A 23,145-nucleotide genomic window follows, 5' to 3' on the forward strand; every position below is an offset into this window, starting at 1 on the left:
AATCACAAAGCCAGTCCATCTTCTCATTCCAGATACTGTTCAGGGGACATTCTTTGAAATGGTCTTCTGTGCTAGACTTCAGGCTCCATACATAGATGCAGGGCCCATCTCTCTGTTGTCTCAGGGACTTTCATGGTGCATAGCACATGGGTAAATATACAATAATAACTACTACTAATTGACAATGAAGAAGGATGTCTTTTTCCAAGGGAAACCAACCTATGTCTACCTATTTCAGCTAAAGCCCCCATGAAAGAAAGCTGAGGCCATCCCTGGAGCATGTTTCTGTTTTAAAATCTGGCATGAGAGCATCTCCTGTGAAGACTCCTCCTTTAAGACAGTCATAAAAATACCTCAATCACTATGTGAACGTGGATAATGTAAGTCACTGCTTACATTGAGAATTTCTAATACTTCTCCCAGATTTAGGATTCTAGAACTTTATAATTTATGACTGGAACATCTGTACGTTTACCTAACGTTAAGAGGTAGCTACAGGCCGAACGCGGTGGCTCACGCCTGTAATCCCGGCACTTTTGGGAGGCCGAGGCGGACGGATCACGAGGTCAGGAGATCGAGACCATCCTGGCTAATACGCTGAAACCCCGTCTCTACTAAAAATACAAAAAAAAAATTAGCCGGGTGTGGTGGCGGGCGCCTGTAGTCCCAGCTACTCGGGAGGCTGAGGCAGGAAAATGGCGTGAACCCGGGAGGTGGAGCTTGCAGCGAGCCGAGATCGCGCCACTGCACTCCAGCCCGGGTGACAGAACAAGACTCCATCTCAACAAAAACAACAACAACGACAACAACAAAAAAGGTAGCTGCAAGTCTGAAGAAAAATAGGTGTCAAAATCTGGGACAAAGACCACTGAAATGAGAAAGGTCTTGGGGTCCAGCCAAGAGAGGTAAGGGGAGTACCAGGGAAACAGTCTTAATTTGATCAACCCAAGAAGACTTCCTGGAAGAGGTGGGGCCTTAGGGAGGTCTTGGTACAGTGGGAAGGCTTAGCATGCAATGTGAATTATATGGAGGAAGTCACTCTAACAACTCAATGCAGTTTGGAAAAGGGTTGGGATCAAAATGAGGAGACTGAACAAAAGAAGCATCACTTCTATTCCTTCTCTCCAGTACTTCCTGTGAGTAAGTCAATGGAAGAAAAAGCTTTTCCAACTATAGGCCCCTCCATTCCACTCTGGCCAGGCAACTGCAAGGAGCAATAAAACTTCAATGGCTCCCAGTGGGTCGATTCGGCAAGAAGGAAGGTGTTATAAATCTTGCCCGATGCTTATGTGCAGCTTAAAAACAAACGGCTCCAATCACACTTAGCAGAGGTAGCCAATTTCCCCAGCATGCGGATGCAGCAGAGGAAGATTTACCCACCTGCACGACTCAGCGGAAGAAGAAGTTTGCGAGAGAGAAAGGGAAAGAAAGGTCAAGCTGCGGAATGAATGTCGACGATGTTGCAATGGATGGTTTAATGCGAAGACACGGCATACACGTGGCCCTGCTGAGCATCCATGGACAGGCAGCAGAGATAAACCATCCCTCCTAGTGAGATGTGCCCTTGAAGACACATTTCTAGCTGCAGAATGACCTACTGGCATTGCTCCTCCAAGCCCATGGGGAGGGCCGCCTGTCCCTTTGGGGACTCCTGTCATTGTGGTTTGTCTTTCAGCAGCTCTGGGCATCTTACTAACCCGTGCAGACCGATGATATATAAACACAGGTTTTTGTCAGTAGCTGTCCTCCATGAGCTCCAGAAACATTAGAAGTGGAAGTATTAGGAAGCAAAAAGCCTTTATTCAGCAGAGCTCCCCAACCCCCAGTTCCAACCATCCTTTAGCTGCTGAGTCTTAGCTCTCATCCGCTGAGCGCTCTGCTGAGCCACCATATCCCTCCATCAAAAAGCAGGACGCGTTCCAAGCATGCACTTTGTTGAAAGAAAGTTTGTTAATGAAGGTCAGAAAAATAAGCCTAGAAGCTACAGAATGCATTACAAGGCACTCTCAGAAAAGCAATGTTACCATATGATTATTAATAATATTAAAAATTACAATAACAGCAAGAACTTATCAATGCTTATCACGTGTCAGACCTAGCGCTAAAGCTCCGTTAAGTGCATTATCCCATTTAACATTCCAATCAATCTGAGAGTTAGGCTTTATTTTTCTCTCATTACCAGATTAAGAAGCTAAGATTCAAAGTTCAGTAATTCAGTAATTCAAAATTCAGTAATTTGCCCAAAGTTACCCAGATAGAAAAAGAAGCTAAGAGCAGAATTAAGATAACCCAGTGCCAAAGTCCATAATCAATCACTGATGTATATAGGAAAAAAAATTAAAGACTATTTTTTTCAAATTACATATAATTGTAATATGCATGTGATATGCAAACTAATTAAATATTAAGATATAAAATTGTTAAAGTTAATGCTTACTGAGTGTTTACCATATGGCAGGCACTGTACTAGGCACTTAACATGAATTAACGAATTTAATCTTCACAATAATTCTAAGAAGTAAATATAAGTATGACCCTCATTTTACAGCTAAGGAATCTGAGGATTGACTAGGTTAAGGTATTTATATAAGATCACACAGTGAGAGAAGCATCCGAGCCACTAATGAACTTGCATCTTTCTGATCCTGGAAACTTCACCTTAATCTGCCATATCTTGCAACATGCCAAAAATCACAAACTGCCGTATTAGCAAGAATCTTGGCACTAAGAAAACTGTTCTAACCCTCACTGCATTAAGCCCAAAGGAGAGGCTAGGAAAGGGTGAAAAAGGGCCAGAATCCTAAGAAGAAGGCTGGATCCTGTCGGAGGTGACTGGTCCTCTGGCACATGGGGTCACCTGTCCTCCACACGTGTGCTTCAGGGGGACCTGAGCCCCAGCCTGATGCTTCTGCTGAGGGCTGTGTGCACTTGTTCTGCAGCTCATTCTGAGGCTTGTGACTTAGCTCCAAGGAGTTGCCCTTTAAACTGGGAAGTCAGGAAAGACTGACTCCAAGATTAAGGGGAGAAAACCAAGAGGAAGTAAGATGTATCATTCGTTACAGGTTTCTCTTAGCAGTCCATACATTGCAAAATGTGCCCATGGCTCCTGAAGTACAGTTGATTCTTATTTTTCACAAATTCTGTGTCTATGAATTTGCCTGCTCACCAAAATTTATTTGTAACCCCAAAACCAATATTCATGGTATGTCACCTTAGAGGTAATTCAAGGATATGTGCAGACTGGTGAAAAATTTGAGTCATCCCAATCTCATTGTCCCAGTGAGGTTGAAGGTGGCAATGCCCTGCCTTCTTGTTTCAGCTCTTATATTATAAACACTTCCTTCTCACTGTCTGTTTAGTGACTTTTTTTTTTTTGCATTTTTGTGGATGATTTCACGGTTTAAAACAGCCCCTACATATAGATCTAAGTCCTCTCTAGTGTTCAAAAGCACAAGAAGGGTGTGATGTGCCTTATGGAGAAAACATGTGTGTTAGAGAAGCTACATTCAGGCACAAGTTACAGTGCCACTGCGTGTGAGTTCAATTTAATCAATCAACAACATATATTAAATGAGGTGTCTTTAAATGGAAATACACATAAAACAAGGTTATGTATTGATTGGTAGACAAAAATGTTGTGATCAGAAGCTCACAGGAACCTAACTGTGTATTTGCCTTAGGAACAATGCTTCAGTGTTCACTAACTTGGTGTTTGAGGTGACCTTATAGACCACAGATTATGAGAATCAACTGTACTGTCGGCTTTCACCCCAGAGAATGCCTGGCTACAGCTTACCATCTTTGGTAGCTGTATGGCCTTGAGGCATCCATGTAAGCCTCATTACTCTCCTTTATAGAATGATGTTGACCACAGTATCTACCTCATCAATTTGTAACTGTCCAGAGATAAAGTGTGTAGCATGGCACTTGGCACCCAGTGGGTGAGAAGCTCCGTGGATCCTAGCTGCTGTGATGGCTGTCTCCAGTATCCCTCATCCAGGAGAAGGGGCAGGCAGTCTCATGAAAGCTGTTTCTCCAATTTCCTTCATCATCTTCAGGGTATTTTTACTTCTGAACATAACTGGCTAATCCCAAGAACAACCCAGGTTCTAGAAGATTTTCTCCTGTGCTGGATAATACAGAAGATTCCAATGACTACAGCTTTGGCAAGTCCTCTTGCCTGACACCTGGCTCAGGAGTCTTGAAGGACTTGGATCACCTGCTTAAGAAGCAATCCCCTCTCTTCCACTTTACTCCTATCCAAGTGGCCCAGGCCTGAGGAGTAGGAAGTCCTCTCTTCACCATTCCCCCACCTTTCCTACACTTTAGTGTGCCCTCCACTGTACCCCCATCTTAGTACAACTCACCAGCCCCTCATATGCAACATGTCCTGTTGACTTTCCTCTGCCCCATGCTTAATCCTTCTTAACACACCCTGTTCCTGGTCCACCCCACATCATGCCTCAGATGGCATCACTGGGCTTCTGGTCTCGCAGGCTCATAAACTCAGAGCCAACATATTATAGTTGCCAAATTATGTTAACAAAAATACTCTCCCACATCAGCGTCTCTCATTCTTTTTTTAATTTTTAATTTTTAACTTTTACTGTAGTAGGGGTATATATGTATGGGTTACATGAGATATTTTGGTACAGGCAATGTATAATTATCACATCAGGGTAAATGAAGTATCCATTCCCTCAAGCATTTATCCTTTGTGTTACAAATAATCCAATTATACTCTTTTGGTTATTTGAAAATGTATAATTAAATTATTTTTGACTATAGTCACCTTGTTGTACTGTCAAATAATAGGTCTTATTCATTCTTTCCAACTATTTTGTAACAACTAAACATCCCCACTTCCCTTCCATCTCCCCACTACCCTTCCCATGCTATAGTAACCATCCTTCTGCTCTCCGCTCCATTAGTTCAATTGTTTTAATTTTTATCCTACAAATAAATGAGAACATGAGAAGTCTGTCTTTCTGCGCCTGGCTTGTTCCACTTAATATAATGACCTCCAGTTCCATCCATGCTATTGCAAATGACAGCTTCATTGTGTATATGTACTACATTTTCTTCATTCATCTGTTGATGGACACTTAGGTTGCTTCCAAATCTTGACTATTGTGAACAGTGCTGCAACAAACATGAGAGTGCAGACATCTCTTTGATGTACCGATTTCCTTTCTTTGGAGTATATACCCATAAATGGGATTGCTAGATCACATGGTAGCTCTACTTTTAGTTTTCTGAGGAACTTCCAAACTGTTCTCCACAGTGGTTGTACTAATTTACATTCCCACTGACAGTGTACAAGGGTTCCCTTTTTTCCACATCCTGCCAGCATTTGTTATTGCCTGACTATTGTGTAAAAGCCATTTTAACTGGGGTGAGATGATATATCATTGTAGTTTTGATTTGCATTTCTCTGATGATCATTAAGGTTGAGCACCTTTTCATATGCCTGTTTGCCATTTGTATGTCTTCTTTTGAGAAATGTCTATGCAGATCTTTTGCTCACTTTTTAATCAGATTATTAGAATTTTTCCTATAGAGTTGTTTGAGCTCCTTATATACTGGGTTACTAATCCCTTGTCAGAGAGTAGTTTGCAAATATTTTCTCCCGTCCTGTGAGTTATCTCTACTTTTTTTGATTGCTTTTGTTTTGCTGTTGCTGTTGTTGTTGTTTTGCTTTGCAGAAACTTTTTAACTTCATGTGATCCCATTTGTCCATTTTTGCTTTGGTTGCCTGTACTTGTGGGGTATTACTGAAGAAATCTTTGCCCAGTCCAATGTCCTGGAAAGTTTCCCTAATGTTTTCCTGTAGTGGTTTCATAGTTTGAGGTCTTAGATTTAAGTCTTTAATCTATTTTGATTCTTGTATATGGCAAGAGATAGTTTCACTCTTCTGCATATGGATATCCAGTTTTCCCAGTACAATTTATTGAAGAGACTATCTTTTCCCCAATGTATATTCTTGTCACCTTTGTCAAAAATGAGTTCATTGTAGGTAGATGAATCTGTTTCTGGGTTCTTTATTCTGTTCCATTGGTCTATGTATCTGTTTTTGTGCCAGTACCACATTGTTTCAGTGACTATAGCTCTGTAGTACAATTTGAAGTTAGGTGTGTGATCCCTCCAGTTTTGTTCCTTTTGCTCAAGATAGCTTTGGCTATTCTGGGTCTTTTGTGGTTCCATATAAATTTTAGGATTGTTTTTGCTATTTCTGTGGAGAACGTCGTTGGTATGTTGATAGAGATTGCATTGAATCTATAGATTGCTTCAGGTAGTAAGGACATTTTAACAATATTGATTCTTCCAGCCTATGAACATGGAATATGCTTCCATTTTCTGTGTGTCCTTTTCAATGTCTTTCGCCAGCTTTTATACTTTTCATAGTAGAGAGCTTTCACTTCTTTGGTTAATTCCTAGGTATTTAATTTTATTTGTGGCTACTATAAATAGGATTACTTTTTTTTTTCTTTTTCAGATTGTTCATTGTTGGCATAGAGAAATGCTACTGATTTGGGGATACTGATTTTGTATCCTGCAAATAAATTATTTATACAAATAAATTATTTGTAAATTTACTTATTAGTTCTAATAGTTTTTTGGCAGAGTCTTTAGCTTTTACCAAATATAAGACAAGATCAATTTGACTTTTTCCTTTCCAATTTGAATGCCCTTTATTTTTTTTCTCTTGTCTAATTGCTCTAGCTAGGACTTCCTGTCACTCACTCTTATTTTTCCACATTCCTATGAGCAAATCCTGGCTAAGGGACACGATTTGTCCACTTTGCTATTATCATGTTTACACAGGCTCTCAATCTCTTAGGATTATTTACCCCAAGGCTCAACTCAGTTTTTCTGAATCACTAGTCTAGTGATCACTCTTCTGCTCAAAAACCTTTAATAGTCCTCCTTTGATTACAACATTAAGTAGTGCAAGCCTTTCAAGGGATGCGGTGATAATACTGGCTTAACTTTCACTTATCTTTCTCTGCTCTTTTGCATGTAAACTACATACAAGACAAATGGCACATTCACCATCCTTGAGCACACCCACCATTTTCTCTTCTTTGTATCTTTGTGTGCTCAACCTAGATTGCCCCTCTGCCCAATATCACCTCCTTTATAAAACCTTTTCTGATTTCCCATCCAAAAAGTGATCCCTTACCCTTCTGGGCCACTATCAAATATTTATTCCTACTTCTACTGAGGCATTTACTTTCAGCTGTAGTATAGAAATATGTAGGATTGGTTTGGCCCCTATTCAGACTACCAGGTCTTGAAGGCAGAAAATGAGTGTGACCCATGTTCATCACTCCTCAACAACGTGCACATAGTAGCACTCCATGTCTATTTTTTGAGAAAAGCATTGATTCTGGATGATTTTCCTGGCAACTGAAGAGTTGCAATTACTTGTGCTTATTTTCAAACAGCTGGTTAATATTTATGGGTCATTTCCAAGTGAATGTGAGTGGAGAGGGGATAAAAATGTAGGCAGTCTTCCCCAGTTGGGCTGGATCTTCCAAGAGAATGGTCTATGTCTCTTCCTTTTTCTATGTTTCCCTTCAATACCTAGGGATATAGAGTCACTGGTACTCAAAAATGTTTCATTTATCCATAATTTTTTATTCTCAAGCACCAATAAGATGCCACTCTATACTTCAATCATCCGAGAAGGATTTGTTTCACTTTATTACATTGGATAGAGAGACGAACAGATAGATGTACAGGAAAAAATCATCCCTGTTGTATTTGTAGCTTATGTACTGAGCGGACTTCAGATAGTCCTGCTTTGTAAAGTCTTTAAGCATAAGTCAAAGCAGAGATCACCTGGAGAAAGCAGAGAGAGGGAATGTCCCAGGTACCTGAGTTGAGCAGATAACATTTGGGCGATGCATTTGGATCTGAGTTAGTGCCAGCTAAGGCAAATGGAAAGGACATTGGCTTATGCCATTTGTTCTCTGAAAACAGAAAGCACACAAATTCATCAGCCGAGACAGCATTTTCCTTGGAACCAAACTTAAGCAGAAACTTACTGTGAGAGATAGTGTGGGGTTGCAATTGACAGAATTTATAAAAAGGGCTTTGAGTCATATAGTAGAAAAATACCTTCAACCCCATTTTTATAAAGGATACAGAAATGCTGTTCAATTGCCAGGTCTCATATTGATCCTTTGAAAAGGTAGAGGCATTACATTAAATCCTGATTTGGTGAAGGCATTTCTTCACAGAAGATGATGCCATTTACCCATCATTAATATGGCATGTTTTCTGAAATGTTTTCTAGTGACAATGATGGATTTAAGTTTATCCAAACCTATGCTCTCACCTAGTCCCTCTTGTCGCCAAGGGCAAGCTCCAGCAGAAACCTGTCTGCAAGGAGACACCCCATCAGCTGCCACTGGAACAAAGGGAGGCTCACCTGCTGACCTGGGGGATCGAACCTTGCAAACATAGACATCTCATGAATTATATTGGCCACCACAAAATTCAGACCTCCCTCATGGCAATTAAGATTTATTTCAGTGATGTTTTCAAGCCTCGTCTCTGATCTTCAGCTTTGATGGAGTCTCTCAGCTGTCCTGGGACTGCCCAATGTGGTCCTTTTGGAAATCAGCTCCTTTGTTATGTCCCAGCGTAGCCATTTCCTGTCTGCTCAGGACAGAGCCATCTCTCAAGGCATCACTACACTGTACACTCCTCCCAGGCAGTCAGGATATCTGTCTTCTTTATACTCTGGGCCTACTACAAAAGTCTGGCTCACAGCAGGGACCCAGTTAATATTTGCTGAATGAATGAGATGCGTCTTCTCTGTTCCTCCAGGAGAAAATGTAAAGACTTTTCGCTAATATTGCACCTCCATAAATTCCTTCTCTCTATTCAAGGCGAAGGATAAGACTACAAATATCTTTTTTTAAAAAAAAAAATCTAAAGAGATGCAAACAAGAAATATGCAATTTTCAAAATAAGTTTAAAATGACCTAAATATCTTTGTTATTGCATTCTTAAGTCTATAGGGACCATGAAGGGTAAGAAACTCAAGTCCTCCCCTAATATTTCTCAACCAGGCCTCCTTCACCCAATTCCAATAACAAAAAATGCAAACACCAACCAATGCTTTTTCATCTCCCGGCCAGGGTCCCATGCCTCACCAAACCTAATTTTCTATTAGCCCTATTTCTCTCATGTGAGTTGGGAATCACTGTTCTAAAAATCCCAAAGAACATAGATTTACATCCATTCTGCAAGATATCTGCAGAAACAAAACAAAACAAAAACATGCCAGATCCCTGGGGACAGGGATATACCTGGTACTACAACTGTTGAAATAGTTCTTAACACAAAATTGGGAATCTTGGTATTCATCACATAATTATTTGTTACTTGCTTCCCTTTCTTATCTGAAATAAATGTTAGGTATGATTTTTTAAATTCCCCCTCCCCCAGCAAAGAAAGAATCAGGAAAGTAACTATGATATAAAGGAAAAAAGGACAAAAGGAAAAATATCCTCTATTTTTAACTTGTGAATTTTTTTGGCAGGGACTAGCTCAGGCCTGCCATCTCTATTGATGACGCGTGGTGGCTTTTGGGCTTAGGAATAAGATGGGCCTGGGTTTGAGCTCAGCACTGCTCTTTACTAAGTGTATGACCTTGGGCAGTTTGCTTAACCTCTTTAAGCATCAGTGAACTTAATCACTGGATGGCAAAAAAACAGCTAACATGTCTAACACAGTGCTGGATCTACAGCAAGCTCTTGATGAATGCCAGCCGCCAGCCTCCTCATCACCATCATCAGTGCCTTTTCCTGCCACCCTCTCACAGTGCAGTTGCAGACCAACCTCATTGCCATGGCACAGCCTGTCTGTGAATCCTCAGGACAGTGGGCATTCAGCGAACAACACAAACACACATACCCCCTCTATCCACTCCTCTGGCTGAAGAAAGGATGCAAGCAGCTGGATACAAATGGCCATTAGTCCTATTCTCCCTACAAATTTAATTTCTCAAGAGAACAGCAGTTCCCAAAATAACCCATGCAGAGCATTCCCAGACACAGCCTCATGCTACCAGATTTCTACTTCCTTAAGCAGCATGTCATTTCTAGATGTGTCTTCCCTTTAATCCAGTTTTCCTAAATTTAACAGATTAAGGAAGCATATATATATATATTATATATATATAAAATATATATGAATGAATTGCTTTTATGCATCTATCTACTAATGCATGCACACGTCTGTTGCATATTGTATTCGGCAAGCTAGACTAACCTTCCAGTGAACTTAGGGTGGAAAACTTGGTTTGGTTAAAGTAAGAGGGCCACCTGTCTTCCATAAGAACATCACAACTCTGCACTTTAGAATTCATTCTCTCAACTATTTTTAGACCTATTCATTAGGCAGCTTGGGCTCCTGCCCATTACTGCTTCAGCTTTTCCGACCCAGAAGTTCCAAATGCCCAGCAGGAGGGAAATAATGTCTTCTAATTTAGCCTCAAGTGAGGAAGTTATTGATGCAAATTTGTAGAATGTTCAAGTTGGACACAACTTCAAATGTTACAGGTAATCCACAACTTTCCCTTAGCAATAAATCGTGTCCACTTGATCCTGACCAACGGGCATCCCCACTAATTTGAATTATTTCAGGGAGATAGTTTACTCAGCCTCCTCAAAGCACTTATAAGTTAAGCAACCCTTTTAAGGTGCTCTTTGCTCCTTCCGCTAAATTATTGGGCAATAAGAGTCAGGACAATATTTTGCATTCCTATGGTGTGTTATGCTCTTCTAAGAGCTTTCCCAGAAATGATTTCATTTGTACTCTAAAAACAACGCTTTGCAGTTCTGGAGGTAGATGGTGATAATGGTTGTACAATGAGAATTTTCTTAATGCCACTGAGCTAAAATGGCAAACTTTATGTTATGTTACCACAATAATAAATTTAAAATTAAAAAATGTAAATGTAGATAGGCAATATTCTAAAGGGAAGTGATATTCTCAAGCCAAACAATCCAGCTAGGAGCAGTCTCCAATTCTCTGTTCAATGCTCTTCCTCTTAAGTGATATGGCCTCTGGATCATGATACAGCCTAGCTCAGGGTACCTGGTTTCAGATGCCATGACTCAAGTTGGGATCCTAAGGTAGTAGGTTCCTGAGAAAGCTGCTGGACCTGTATGCTAGCTAGTCCTATGCTCCAAAAATGCCATGCAATCAAAGAAAAAATAAACCAGTGCCCTTGTGGGACACTGCAACCCTTTTCCTGCTACCACCCAATGGCTTTCCTGTTAACAAGCGTCAGAATATGGAGAAAAGGTTATCTCATAAGTTTAGTTTTCTCCAAGTAATAATCCGAGTCTACATAGCAGCAATTTCCCCAAGTTTAGAGCAGAAAAGTCACTGAAAAATAAATACCAAGAGGACCAAAAGTTGGAGTCCAACTTATTTTAAATATTAGACAACTCAATCACACTCTGCTCTTTGTAGGTAAGACAGACGTAGTGTGAGAGTAAAATGAAATAATTGATGTGAAATATACAGAGTTCCAAGAAAGTAAGATAAGAATCAAATATCCAATTATTCAGACCACTATAAAGAGATAGAAAATGAATAATTCAAAAGGGCAGAAAATCCATATGTATTTTCTGTAAAAATAACAAAGCTTTGTACAATATTTTACAATTTGCAAAACACTCTTGCATGCATTATCTCATTTGACTTTTCTAAAAGGCCTGTGAAATGAACTAATATTATTATTATAATTTTCCTTTTATAATGGAGGAAACTGAGGCATTGAGGGTTTGCATTTTTCCTAGAGCTGCAGTCTGAAAGTGGCAGAGCTGGGTCTCATACCACATCTTCTATTTCTAAATGCTATGTTGATATTGATATTATTATTAATAATATTCTTTACATAAGTTGCAAATGGGATATTGATGGGATTGGTTTTAATATGACAGAGGTTTGGGAAATTCACTCCAAACAAAACAAAACAAGACAAAAAAGGACTCAAGAATAGCTGAGAAGATGTCTAGTTTCTCTGAGGCTGACTCTCCCACTCAAAATCTCACAACTAACTTCCTACTAAAAATAACCATTCTCTTTTAGACTTGTTCTCTTTTAAGCTTTCAGTGAGTGGGGAAATGGTTGAGTGTAAAATTTTCAAAGGCAACCTCTGGGAAGTCCACTGAAGCTGGAGACAATACTCACAGCAGTGAGTTCTCAGTGCAGCAGCCAGGCAAATTCTATAATAGAGTTAGTGCTGATTGTCAATCTTGAAAATCAACTGGGCCGCGAGCAAGTCAAACTGCATAGTCTCCATGAAGATATAAAAAGATTTCTTAGACAGTGTATCTTAGTCCATTTTGTGCTGCTGCAACAGAATATCTGGGGCTGGGTAATTTATAAAGAACAGATATTTATTTCTAACTATCCTGGAGGCTGGAAGTCCAAGGTTGGGGGCATGCATTTGGTGAGGGTCTTCTGTCTGCATTGTCCCATGCTGGAAGGCATCACAGGGTGGGGGATAGTGAAAGCAAGAGTTTCCTGAACCTGATTTTATAAAAAAAAACCCTTCTGGCAATAACAAGCCCACCCAAGATAACAATATGAGTTCATTCATGAAGGCAGGGCCATCATGACCAAGTCAACTCTTAAAGGTCCTACCTCTCAACATTGTTGCATCGGGGATTTAGTTTCCAAAACATAAACTTTGGGGAAGACATTCAAGCCATAGCACAGTGCATTACAAGGATTTTAACAACCTAGATTTCTAGAGAAATCTAGAGAAGCAAGGCAGCTAGCTGTACCATATAGATGATCAGGATGATCAGTCTCTCATAATCACACAGTTTCTCACCTTGGATCAGCATCTCTTTGAAAGGACCAAGAAATATTTTCCCATTTATCATAAACATGTACCTTTCCTGGAGTTATAAAAGTACCCAATCTCCTGGGTCGAACAATATGGCCAGACCAAGACAGAAAGCAGCCAGAACCTAGGATGAGCTGGAAGAGGTTGTCCCCACACAGCTCAGGCTTCTGCTCCTTCTTTGACTCATAACTGAAAACTGCTGACTAGACTGACCGTATGGTTTCTGCCCTGCCCGCATCTGCAGAAACTCTAAGCCATGAAAGCACCTCTAAGCCACTGGACCCAAGTCGCCAAGGCCAAACCAAGGTAGGAGATGTAATGATAAATCAGCCCAAGTGCTGATTTTCTCCTCTAACTTCTGCCCAAACTGGTCTGGAATATGAATCCAGGAAAATCTTAAATTAGGATTCCTACTGGAAGTCTTCTTAACCATGTTCTTTCTGTGACTATATGGCAATTGCTGGCTTGCCTTCTTTACCACTACACTCTAGGCTCTATGAGGATAAGAGATGCCAAATTTTTGTGCAGTGATTAAAGAGCTCTGGAATTAGATTACTTAAGTACAAATCTGGGTCTCTACCACTTACTGTGTGACCTTAGGCAATGTGTAAATCTCACTAAGCCTGTCTTATCATTAGTGACATGGACTTACCTAACTCAATTATTGTAAGGGTCAAATAAAATAGTATACTTAATATATTGACTGGCACATAACAAAGACTTCATAAAATGTTACTCATTGATCTTACTCATTGTCTTATTTACCATTGCATCCCCTTCCTAGTATAGTACTTGGTACACAACAGGCCATTTGATAAATGTTTATGAGTAAACGTCTGTTCAAGACCAACACAATCCTATATAAATATATACATACCATACCTTGATTTGTTTGCTTAGTTTAATTTTTTTCTACTTTGAGTTATCAAATATTATTTAAGGAACTCCAGGGTCTTGGGAAGGGATCAGCTGAGGGAGTAGGCTAAATTGGACAGAATGAACCAAAGGCAGGTTACTCTGTCTCATGGTAACCTCTTAGGAGATTACCCTTTTATGGCGACCTCCTTTCCATTTACTGCATTGTTCAGGGTAATTTGATATACAATGTTATCGTACCAATTACATGTTATATCAAAATTGAAAGGAAATTGGCAAGTTGAATTGGATAAATATGTCCTTTTATTTAATTTCAAATAGGTGGTACATAGAACAGACAAATTCTACTTCCATGAAAACTATTTTATAATTGTGTATTCACATTAATGATCTCATGGCTGAATCCATCCAATTCAACAAGTGTATGTTGGCCAAGATCTACTACCTTCCAAGCACTCTCCTAGGTGTTGTGTTAGATGTATACACAAAAGATAAAACTTAGTCTGCAAATTACCATAAGTAGTGTTGCTTTGAACCATAGACATTTATTCTCTCACAGTTCTGGAGGCTGGAAGTTCGAAGCCCAGTTGTTTGCAGAGTTGGCTCCCCCTAGAGGCCCGGAGGGAGAACCTGTGCTCTGCGGCTCTGCTCTGTGCTTCTGGTGGCTTGCAGACACATGGCTCCAATCCGGCCTCAGTCTTCACACGACGCCCTCCCTGTATTGGCTGTGTCTTCACATCCTCTCCTCTAAGTGTACCTTTGTGTCCACATTTCCCTCTTCATGTAAGAAAACTGGCCACTGGATAAGGGTCCTCCCTAATAAGGTATGGTCTCATCTTAACTTGATTACCTCTCCCAAGATTTTATTTCCAAATAAGGTCACATTCGCAGGCGCGAGGAGTAGAACTTGTACCTATCTTTTTGTGTGACACAATTCAACCTATGCTAGAACTCTTCAGGATGGTGATAATGGGAAAAGGTGCCCTTTACATAACACCGTGTGCCAGGCATGCCTCCACCTCATGTGTTATCCGTCTAATCCTCATGACAATCCCAAAAAGTAAGCAAATTATCCTCCTACTCATTCCACAGACAGGGAAGGCTAAAGAGATAAAGCAACTTTCCCAAGGTTACATAGCCAGCCTCTTAACCACTACGCCACACTGCCTCTTAGAGCTTGTAGAGAAGAGGTCGATTGAGTAGTAACGATAAGAGAAGCATAAACCAAGTATCACGGGAGACCAGAGGAGGCTGATGCAGCTTTAGCTAGGGACATTAGAATTAGGCTTTTATTTTATTCAATTCAAAGGTAAACAAATATTGCCAGATACCAGAGGCAGTACTAATTTTTGAAGATACACAATTTAAAAAATAAAAACAAAGGCACAGGCCCTGCTTTGATGAAGTTTAGTCTAGAGCAGAATAATAAAATACAAACAGATAATATCAATGCAATGTCTTAAAACGTATCATAAACATATGTAGAAATTATGGGAATCATAGCAGGAAAATGGAACTTGACATTTTAGAGTTTCATTATGTCTGTGTATTTTCCACCCTCCAAATTAGATTATAAATACCTTGAGATCTTCCGTTTCTTTTGTATTCATTCAAAACAGGCTTTTACAGTTCTCCCTATACATAGGACACTCAGTAAAAGGGATTATTAAGGACGCTTGCTCAAGCAAGGATGTAAAAATGATAGAGCAAACCTTGTTGTCCCCCAAATCCTTGGCTCCCCTGGCTGGTCACCACCCCCAGGAGAACCTAGGGAGACCTGTGGGCGTTGAGCAGAAGCTCACAGTGTCCCCTCTGCCAGAGTTCTCCAGCAAACTCATTTTGACAGGGCGTCTGGGCTGAATCTGGGGGCACATAAAATGCCAGGCAGACTGTGTCTTGCGGCCACAGATTTGGAATTGCAGCTCCTTCTCGAATGCCCACACTTCTTTCTCCTGCTTTGCTTTTCCCTGCTGAATGGGTTACAAGTAGATTTGGGAGTTTTTGTGATCTGTATGTTTAATTTCTGTTGCCATCTGCATTTGGGTCTTCCTTTTCAACAAGGGACACAAATCCAGCCACCATCAGAAAAAGGATACCCTCGGATAGAAGACCCAGGGATTCCCTGTCTTCATGCAAATCTGCTGAGCTCTTCCTTCAGCCTCTCTCCTGAACTGTGTTGTTTCTTTTGCGTGATCTGGCTCTAGCGCTGGGGGAAGCAGAGCTTTGAGGCTTCCCATATTCCTGCCTTGGGCCACTGACAGGGACAACAGCATCTGATATGTACCCTTCTACAAAAAATCTTCTGAGCCTTCCTGATCAGATTATGCCCATCCCTGAAGCAGTGATTGTTTCCTGCCTCTGAACCTAATGCTCTTCTTCTTACAAGCCCTCCAAATCTAGGCCCAATCTGCCACTTAGTTAAAGAGTTTCATACTCAAAACAAAACTTGGCAGAAAGTGCAGTCCAGGCAAGGTAGAGGCATGACCTCCGCTGGCCACTTATCAAAAAAGAAATTGTTTTCTCCCTTCCCAGCTCTCCCTTCAGTTTGTTTCTATTGCTCCTTTTGTCTGGGTCTTGCCTTGCTTCCACTTGTGTAATCAGTCGGTCCACTGGGTACGGACTGTGTCTAATTGCATGCTGTTTGCACTGCCTAGCACATTACAGTCCTCAATAAACATACTATTATTATGATTATTGTTATGATCTATCATAACAATAATCGCAATTCAGTGCACATTTCTCTAAACTTCGGGCAGCTTGGAGAGTCAAGAACATACACACAGTCCCCTGGATAGCCCTAAGAGCTTTGGATAAGGATCTAAATTTAAGGGGTGCATATCTGAGCTGCACCTCCAAACCTGCAGAGATTGGAGGGTAATTATCTTCCATCCTCAGTGGGAACAGACCATGAGACCATTCTCCTTCCATGCAGAAAGGGAGAATAAGAACCAGGCAGAGACCAGAAAAGATAGAGAAAAGAGAAACTGTGTTAAGCTGTAGTTTTTTTCAGAGACAGCAAAGACCACAGCTAGGGCTGACCCAGTGGCAAAAAGTCTGTTCAAGCAATGATAAGAAAAATCATTTACTGGGCACATTAACTTAAGTTGTAGGAGCCGAGCTTTCCCTGGGTTGCCCATTGGATAAATGCTGTCAGGATATGCTGTGAGCTGCTCCAATGAGATGTAATAATTGAATTTGTTTTCATTTAATTTGAGGGCCTTTAATTAAAAGCCAGGCCTGTGTGTGCAGAGAGATAAAGCCAGGCACATGGAGACTGGGGGTAATTTGGGTGCTGAATGCAATAATTGTAAATTCAGAGGTCAGGGGACTGGCACTATCTTTGTGAAATCAGCACAGTGAGCAGGCCATCCGGCTGGAATGGACTCAGGAGTGGTGGAAACACACGCTTAAGTGATTTTTTGAAACCTTAATCGCAATTACAGAGTAGTGTGGAGGTTAATTTGCAAAGTTCATTAATCAGAGAAATAAATACATCAGTGATCACTTGATGGAAGACAACCTGGAAAGTCTGGTTTTCCAGCCACAATTTCCCAAACCTCCTATTCAGTTTTGAAATAGTACAGAATCCACACTGTGATTAATCTTGCCAACCTTTATTCGCCTTTGAACTGCTAAGCAGTATATTTCTCCCCTCTAGGTCTGAGGTTAAACCCATCCACATGACCACTTCAAAATAATCCAAACATGTCTTGGAATGATGGGGCTAAAACTGAGAATAATCCATAGAATAAATTCTGGCATTTCCTATTAGCACTCAAGGAATCAACAGCTAGAATTAGTATCAGAAGACAGAGTTAGAATTAATGCCCAATATTAATCCCTGGAGTTAGGATTAGAGGGTTAACTAGAGTCTTCAATCTTTAGATATAGTTGTAATTCATGATATAAAGCAATAAAGTAAAGGTTTTGTGCGTACATGTGAATTGCTGCCCTGATAAATGGCATTCCATTAGATGCACATTTTGTGCTTGAGAGAGCTTCATTATGGAAACTTATCCCGGCATGCAGTGGTGGAGTTTCTAGAAGGCTGCTCCCTTCCAGTCTCCCCAGCAGGGTGGAGAGATGGGATCCACATCCACTCCACTACCATCAAGCAGAAGAATTCACAGCTGGTGAGCTCCCTGCTGCAAAAGATGGGTTGCCACCCAATGCAAACCCACACGTGGGTGGCACCTGTGCCCAGACATGTTTCTGGAAGTCTCCTGCTTTCAGCTTATTTTTCTCTGGGTTATAATTGCTCCCTAGAGAAAGGAGGCTGACAGGTCAGAGACTGTGGTCAGAGAGGAGGAGAGTGGACTAGGTCAGAAAGTATCTGACAGAATTGCCTGATGCATTTTTAAAAATACCCATGCTTTATCCTTTCCCCAGACCTCCTGCACCAGGATTCTCAAGGGAGTCAGGTCCCTGGTAATTCTAAATCACCCTCAGCTAAGAACCACTGGACTAGATAAACTCCAAGCTCTCCCCTACATCTGAAGTCATGTTATTCTGGGCCGCACTTCTGGGAGCTGTACATCCACTGTTTGCTTAGCAATTTGCCGTCCTAGAATGTGCAGTAAGCCCTCTCTTAACATCATCAATAGGTTCTTGAAAGCCGTGACTTTAAGTGAAACGATGTATAACAAAACCAATTTTACCATAGGCTAAATGATATAAATAAGAGGTAAATTTCAACCGCATGTTGCTGGTCACAAAAAAAAAATCACCAAACTTCCAAATAAAGATCCAAAACAGTTCTACTATTAAACTTTGAGATGCGTGTGAGCATATACATTTAAGAAAGATTAATAAAAACAGTAAGATAATATTTACCCAGTCTTTGGTGAATCAGTGAGTGACAGTGGTCACAATGGTGGTGAATTAAATCAAGGAATAAACGTTTCTGCAGTGAAAATTGTTAGGGCATCTCCTACTACCACCAAGTTCTAAAACAAACTATTAGAAAGATGGCGGGCTTGCTGAGCACTTTCATACCTCATGGTTTATTGTCATGCATTTGGATGATTACTTTAGACTTTACAACATTTTATTTGACAGTAATTTGTATACATTCATTCATTTTCCAACCCAGTTATTCTAGTTCAGGGTCACAGGTGGCTGGAGCATCTCCCAGCAGCTCAGGGCGCCAGGTGGGAGTCAGTCCTGGACACGACACCACCCAGAGGCAGGGCTGCTCACACTCACCCCCACACTCACTCAGACTGGGGCCTTGTACACATGCCTATCCACCTAATATGCACAGCTGTAGGATGTGGGAGGAAACCAAAAGACCCTGAGAAAACCCCACCAACACCAGGAGAATGTGCAAACACCACACAGACAGTGGCCCTTCCAGGAAGCAATCTTTTTCTCATCATTGTTATAATGAAAAGACATGGAATGAGACAATGCGATTCAAAGACCTGCTGTAATAATAGAGTCTGGGGATTAGACACTTTAGTTCAATCGTCTCTCTTACAATTGAATAAGCTCTGTTATATCTCTGCCAGCCATTGTCCATCCTCTGCTGATGCCTTGGTTTTCACTAAACTTAGATGCCAGACTTCCTGGGTGTCTCTGGACACCTGGAAGACAGAAGCAGTCCCTCGTGCATTCCTGAGCAAAGAACAGGCAGCTGTGAGGGGGACGAGCGTGGGCTGTGGAAGGAAGGAGGTGGTAACCCTCTAGAGCAGGCATCTCTCCCCAGAGGAACCAACCAACGCGTCATGATACCCACTTCGCAGATGAGGAAACTGGGGCACAGAGAAAGATGACAGCTTGCCAGAACTCATCTTCAGACAGCGCGACTCCAGAGCCTGAGCTGTGAACTTACGTCACCAAAGTACTGTTCCCAATTCTCACTCCAGGGCTCTCTGGCAGCTAAGTGGTGAGTTTAGAAAACTTGACAGAGGAAGTAATAATGTGGTTAGAGGAAAATTTAGAAAAAGCTTTAAGGTGAGGTGTAAAAAGGCTAGTATTGCCAATGAGAATATTTACTCCATAAATGGAAGCTAAAAGCATCTAGTCTCCCAGTGGGAATTTAAGCATCATCGACAAATGTTCTTTTACACTAGCTCTAATCACTACCGCTGAGCTCCTGCTCTGTTCCAGATGCCAGGGGTCTTATATACATTTTATCCAGAGAGTTTTCTACCAACCGTAACAGCTGTGACTATTCCCAATTCATAGCTGATGAAACTGAGATTTGGACCAAAGTCTCATAGATACTAGTAGGTCTGATGTCTCCATAACCTATTCAGAATAAGAAATTTCATTTCTGGAGTTAACTTCTTAATCAAACAGTAATCAAGTGATAATCACCTCCTAAGCACTATGCACCATGCTAGGTACCACAGAACACAGGTAAAGAAATGAAGAACATCTTTGTTCTTATGGATCCTGCAGTCCAGTCGGGGAGAGAGACAAACAGAATACTCCATATTGTGTGATGCAGTCTCTTCATAAGGAGAAGCACTGCTGCTCTGAGAACACACAGGCGGGTCACATAGCTATCTGCAGAGGTGGGTCAGGGAACAAGCAGAGGAAGGACGTGCTAGAAGGTGAAGAAGGCAGTCAGGAAGAAGCTGATTGACAGGACAACATATGCAAAGCCTGAAGGATCAAATGAGGGCAATTGAGCTCTGAAAGCTGGAGGAGCCTCATGTGACTAGGGCATAGCTACGGCATATAAGTGAGTGGTGACAGCTGACACTGGAGCACTGGTTATATTTCCAGCTACCCCACCAGCGCCCAGCACAGTGCTTGCAGCATAGACTGTCAGTGCTTTATAGGGTGAATGTTAGAAAAATAGGTGTTGGTTGGCATCAAGATTCCACTCCTATCTCCAAGTGGCCTGGGCTGATGGTTGTCCAAATTCATCTGACGACCCTAATACTCCCATCTCCATAAGGTCTTGGTACACTTATTTTTGGGTGAACCCAGCTCTGGCTATGACTACATCTGTGGTTGTTGGGAGGCAGGAGGGGAAGATGCCTTTGCACTCAGCCCCGTTTCCAGGAGCCATGCACTAGCTGAGTCTTTTTCTCTAGGTTATAATTGCTCCCTCGAGAAAGGCTGCATAGCATGCTATGGTTTCCTTTTCTCTCTGGGTCTATTTCAGGAACTGGTTTAGAAGTTGTGGGGTTTTTGTTGCTTTTTTTTTTCTTTGAGTGAAAGCACACGTTAAGAAAAAAAGTAAAAAAAAAAAAAAAAAAAAAAAAAAAAAAAAAAAAAAAGACCTCTCTTTCCCATCAGCTCTTTTGACGTTGCTGGGAGACAAAGCAAGCAGTAGCAAGTCTCCAAAATGGGCTTTAAAGAAATATATTTAAAATAAACCTCTAAAGCAGAACGGCATCACTTGACGACATGTTGTACATTCTGATTCTTCTCCTTCTGCTGCAAGAGAAAGGCTTTCTTGGGCCTGTGAAAAGGTAACTGAGAAGAGCCTCATTTAACTCTTAGAGACCATGGGACCACCCATTCCAATGACCTAGACTGAAAAATCAGGCATGGTGCCCAAAAGTTACCCAATACCTCCCATTGCTTCCTCAAGCATCTTCGCATTTTGATCTCCCTTGGTTAGACCTGTGGCTGGCATGTGTCCCCTCACAGGACCCTGAGGAATTAGACAGATATTAGAGGAACAACAAATGAAGACCAGGGAGGTCAAGGTGATGCTGGGACCTAGACAAAGACTTCAGTTCCCCCAGTTCACATGGAACCAATAGGGTCCCTCAACTTCAAGGACTAAAGAGGGCATGAATAATGGGTGCCTCGGTGGTACCCACTGGGAAGTACACATGAGAGAGCTCAGGGGGGTACAGGCTTAAACTTGGATTTAATACGATTTAATTTTTCTTAAGTGGATGTCACACTTTTTCCACATCTGAGTTTTTGGAGCAATATTCACACCCACTCCTCCTTTCCTTTGAAAACATGATCAAGCATGCCAGCGTGGCTCTGAAATGCCTTCCCCTAACAGAAGAGGGCCAGGCCCAGGGAGGAAGGTCAGGCCAGAGGTCATGGGAAAGGAACCCTTGGGAAGAAATGCAGTCCCAGGCCTGGCCAGCCCTAACTCTGGGGCAAGCTCATTTACAGTGGCCCTCACACAGTTCCTCAATTCTGGGTCCTGTCACCTCACAGTCTTAGAAGCAGTCTTCATGGCTTTCTCAGCTGCAGCTTCAAGTGCTCCCAGGCATTATTCCATGTTCCTCTCACAACACACATGAGAGGAGGGGTGGCCAAATATCCTCATCCCATTTATCAATGAGCAAGTGCCAGGCTCAGCCAGTGAAGCCCAGGGTGTAGCTCGAAACCTCCGAGTCCCAGGTTTTTCTATGCAGCTAAGCTGCTTGTGGTGGAAGATCACCTAAGAGCCTTCCTCCACTTCATGAGAAAGTTTTTCTGTTTATTGTCTTTGACTGAACATCATGGATTTGCATGTAAGATAAAAATTAGGGAAGGGAAGTGGCTTCCCCCCACACGTTGACAATCAGGAAACATTTATCACCTCTTGCCCTGAATGTCATGGAGGCAGCTACTTATTTGCCACCCCCTCCAGATCTGTCTATCCATTTACCATGGTGGTAATCAGAGTTCCAAGAGGAAACACGTGGCACATTCAAACGGTCTAATTTGAGGAGAATGCAACACTCTGCAAAAGCAAGGGCAGAATACAAGCAAATCCCAAGGTGTGATGAATGCAGTCTCTGGAACTAGTAACTCCAAAGCACTTTCATCATACTAGGCCTGAAGTAGGAATAATCATGAGAACAGTGACCTGAAAAGAACAATTGGAGAGGCCCACCTAGGAGGGGCTGTGATCTTTAATTGAGGAGCACAGCTGTCCCACAGTGAGGCCAGACTAGGGGAACAAGAGAATCAATACCCAGACCTCACCTTCTCCCTCTAAATGTCTGTCACTGATGTCTATGGGTCAAACCAACTGGAAACCAGAGGGTCAGAGAGCATGTGGCATGGGCACGGTTCACAAAGGTCAGTTTCCTGGGTGCAGAGCACTTTAGAGGTGGATGCAGATGGATATCCAACAGCACCTTAGTCCTCATCATCAACCTCATGATAGCTATTCATCAGAGAGTAGAACCCTACCATCTGAGGGGTTTTTTGAGATGTATTTTCTATGAATGAGAACTTGTCGCATTACCACCAACTCAGCTGATACAGATGAAAAATAGTACACGTATGCCCCTATCCTCTCTTCATACACGCCAATAAACTTTTCCACTGTAGTCTGTTGTTTGTAGTTTGTCACTGCTTTAGCCCTGATTTTGAAAAGGAAAGTGGTAAATGAGATTGGAATCAAGTAGCCAAGAAAGTGTGCCTGGAAGGGGAAGAGAGAGTCTGAGAAGTCTCTTTTTTGAGTGACT

The 23,145-nt window shown here is 41.6% G+C and overlaps 1 protein-coding gene across 3 annotated transcripts in view, besides 2 other annotated features; it reads right to left on the reverse strand.

Annotated features, from left to right (window-relative positions):
• OPCML (opioid binding protein/cell adhesion molecule like) overlaps positions 1 to 23,145 on the reverse strand; it is a 1,117,521-nt gene that overhangs the window by 974,699 nt on the left and 119,677 nt on the right. The window lies entirely within an intron of this gene.
• Positions 14,175 to 14,469: an enhancer, noted in NCBI's record as "tiled region #13397; HepG2 Activating non-DNase unmatched - State 13:Ctcf, and K562 Activating DNase matched - State 12:CtcfO". NCBI's record gives its function as "activates a minimal TATA promoter and a strong SV40 promoter by Sharpr-MPRA in HepG2 and K562 cells {active_cell/tissue: HepG2 | K562}" and the evidence as "EXISTENCE:reporter gene assay evidence [ECO:0000049][PMID:27701403]".
• Positions 20,736 to 20,865: a silencer, noted in NCBI's record as "silent region_4086". NCBI's record gives its function as "represses an Ori minimal core promoter by ATAC-STARR-seq in GM12878 lymphoblastoid cells {active_cell/tissue: GM12878}" and the evidence as "EXISTENCE:reporter gene assay evidence [ECO:0000049][PMID:35858748]".

The sequence above is a fragment of the Homo sapiens genome, chromosome 11 (genome assembly GCF_000001405.40).
Source record: "Homo sapiens chromosome 11, GRCh38.p14 Primary Assembly".
NCBI classification, from domain to species: Eukaryota; Metazoa; Chordata; class Mammalia; order Primates; family Hominidae; genus Homo; species Homo sapiens.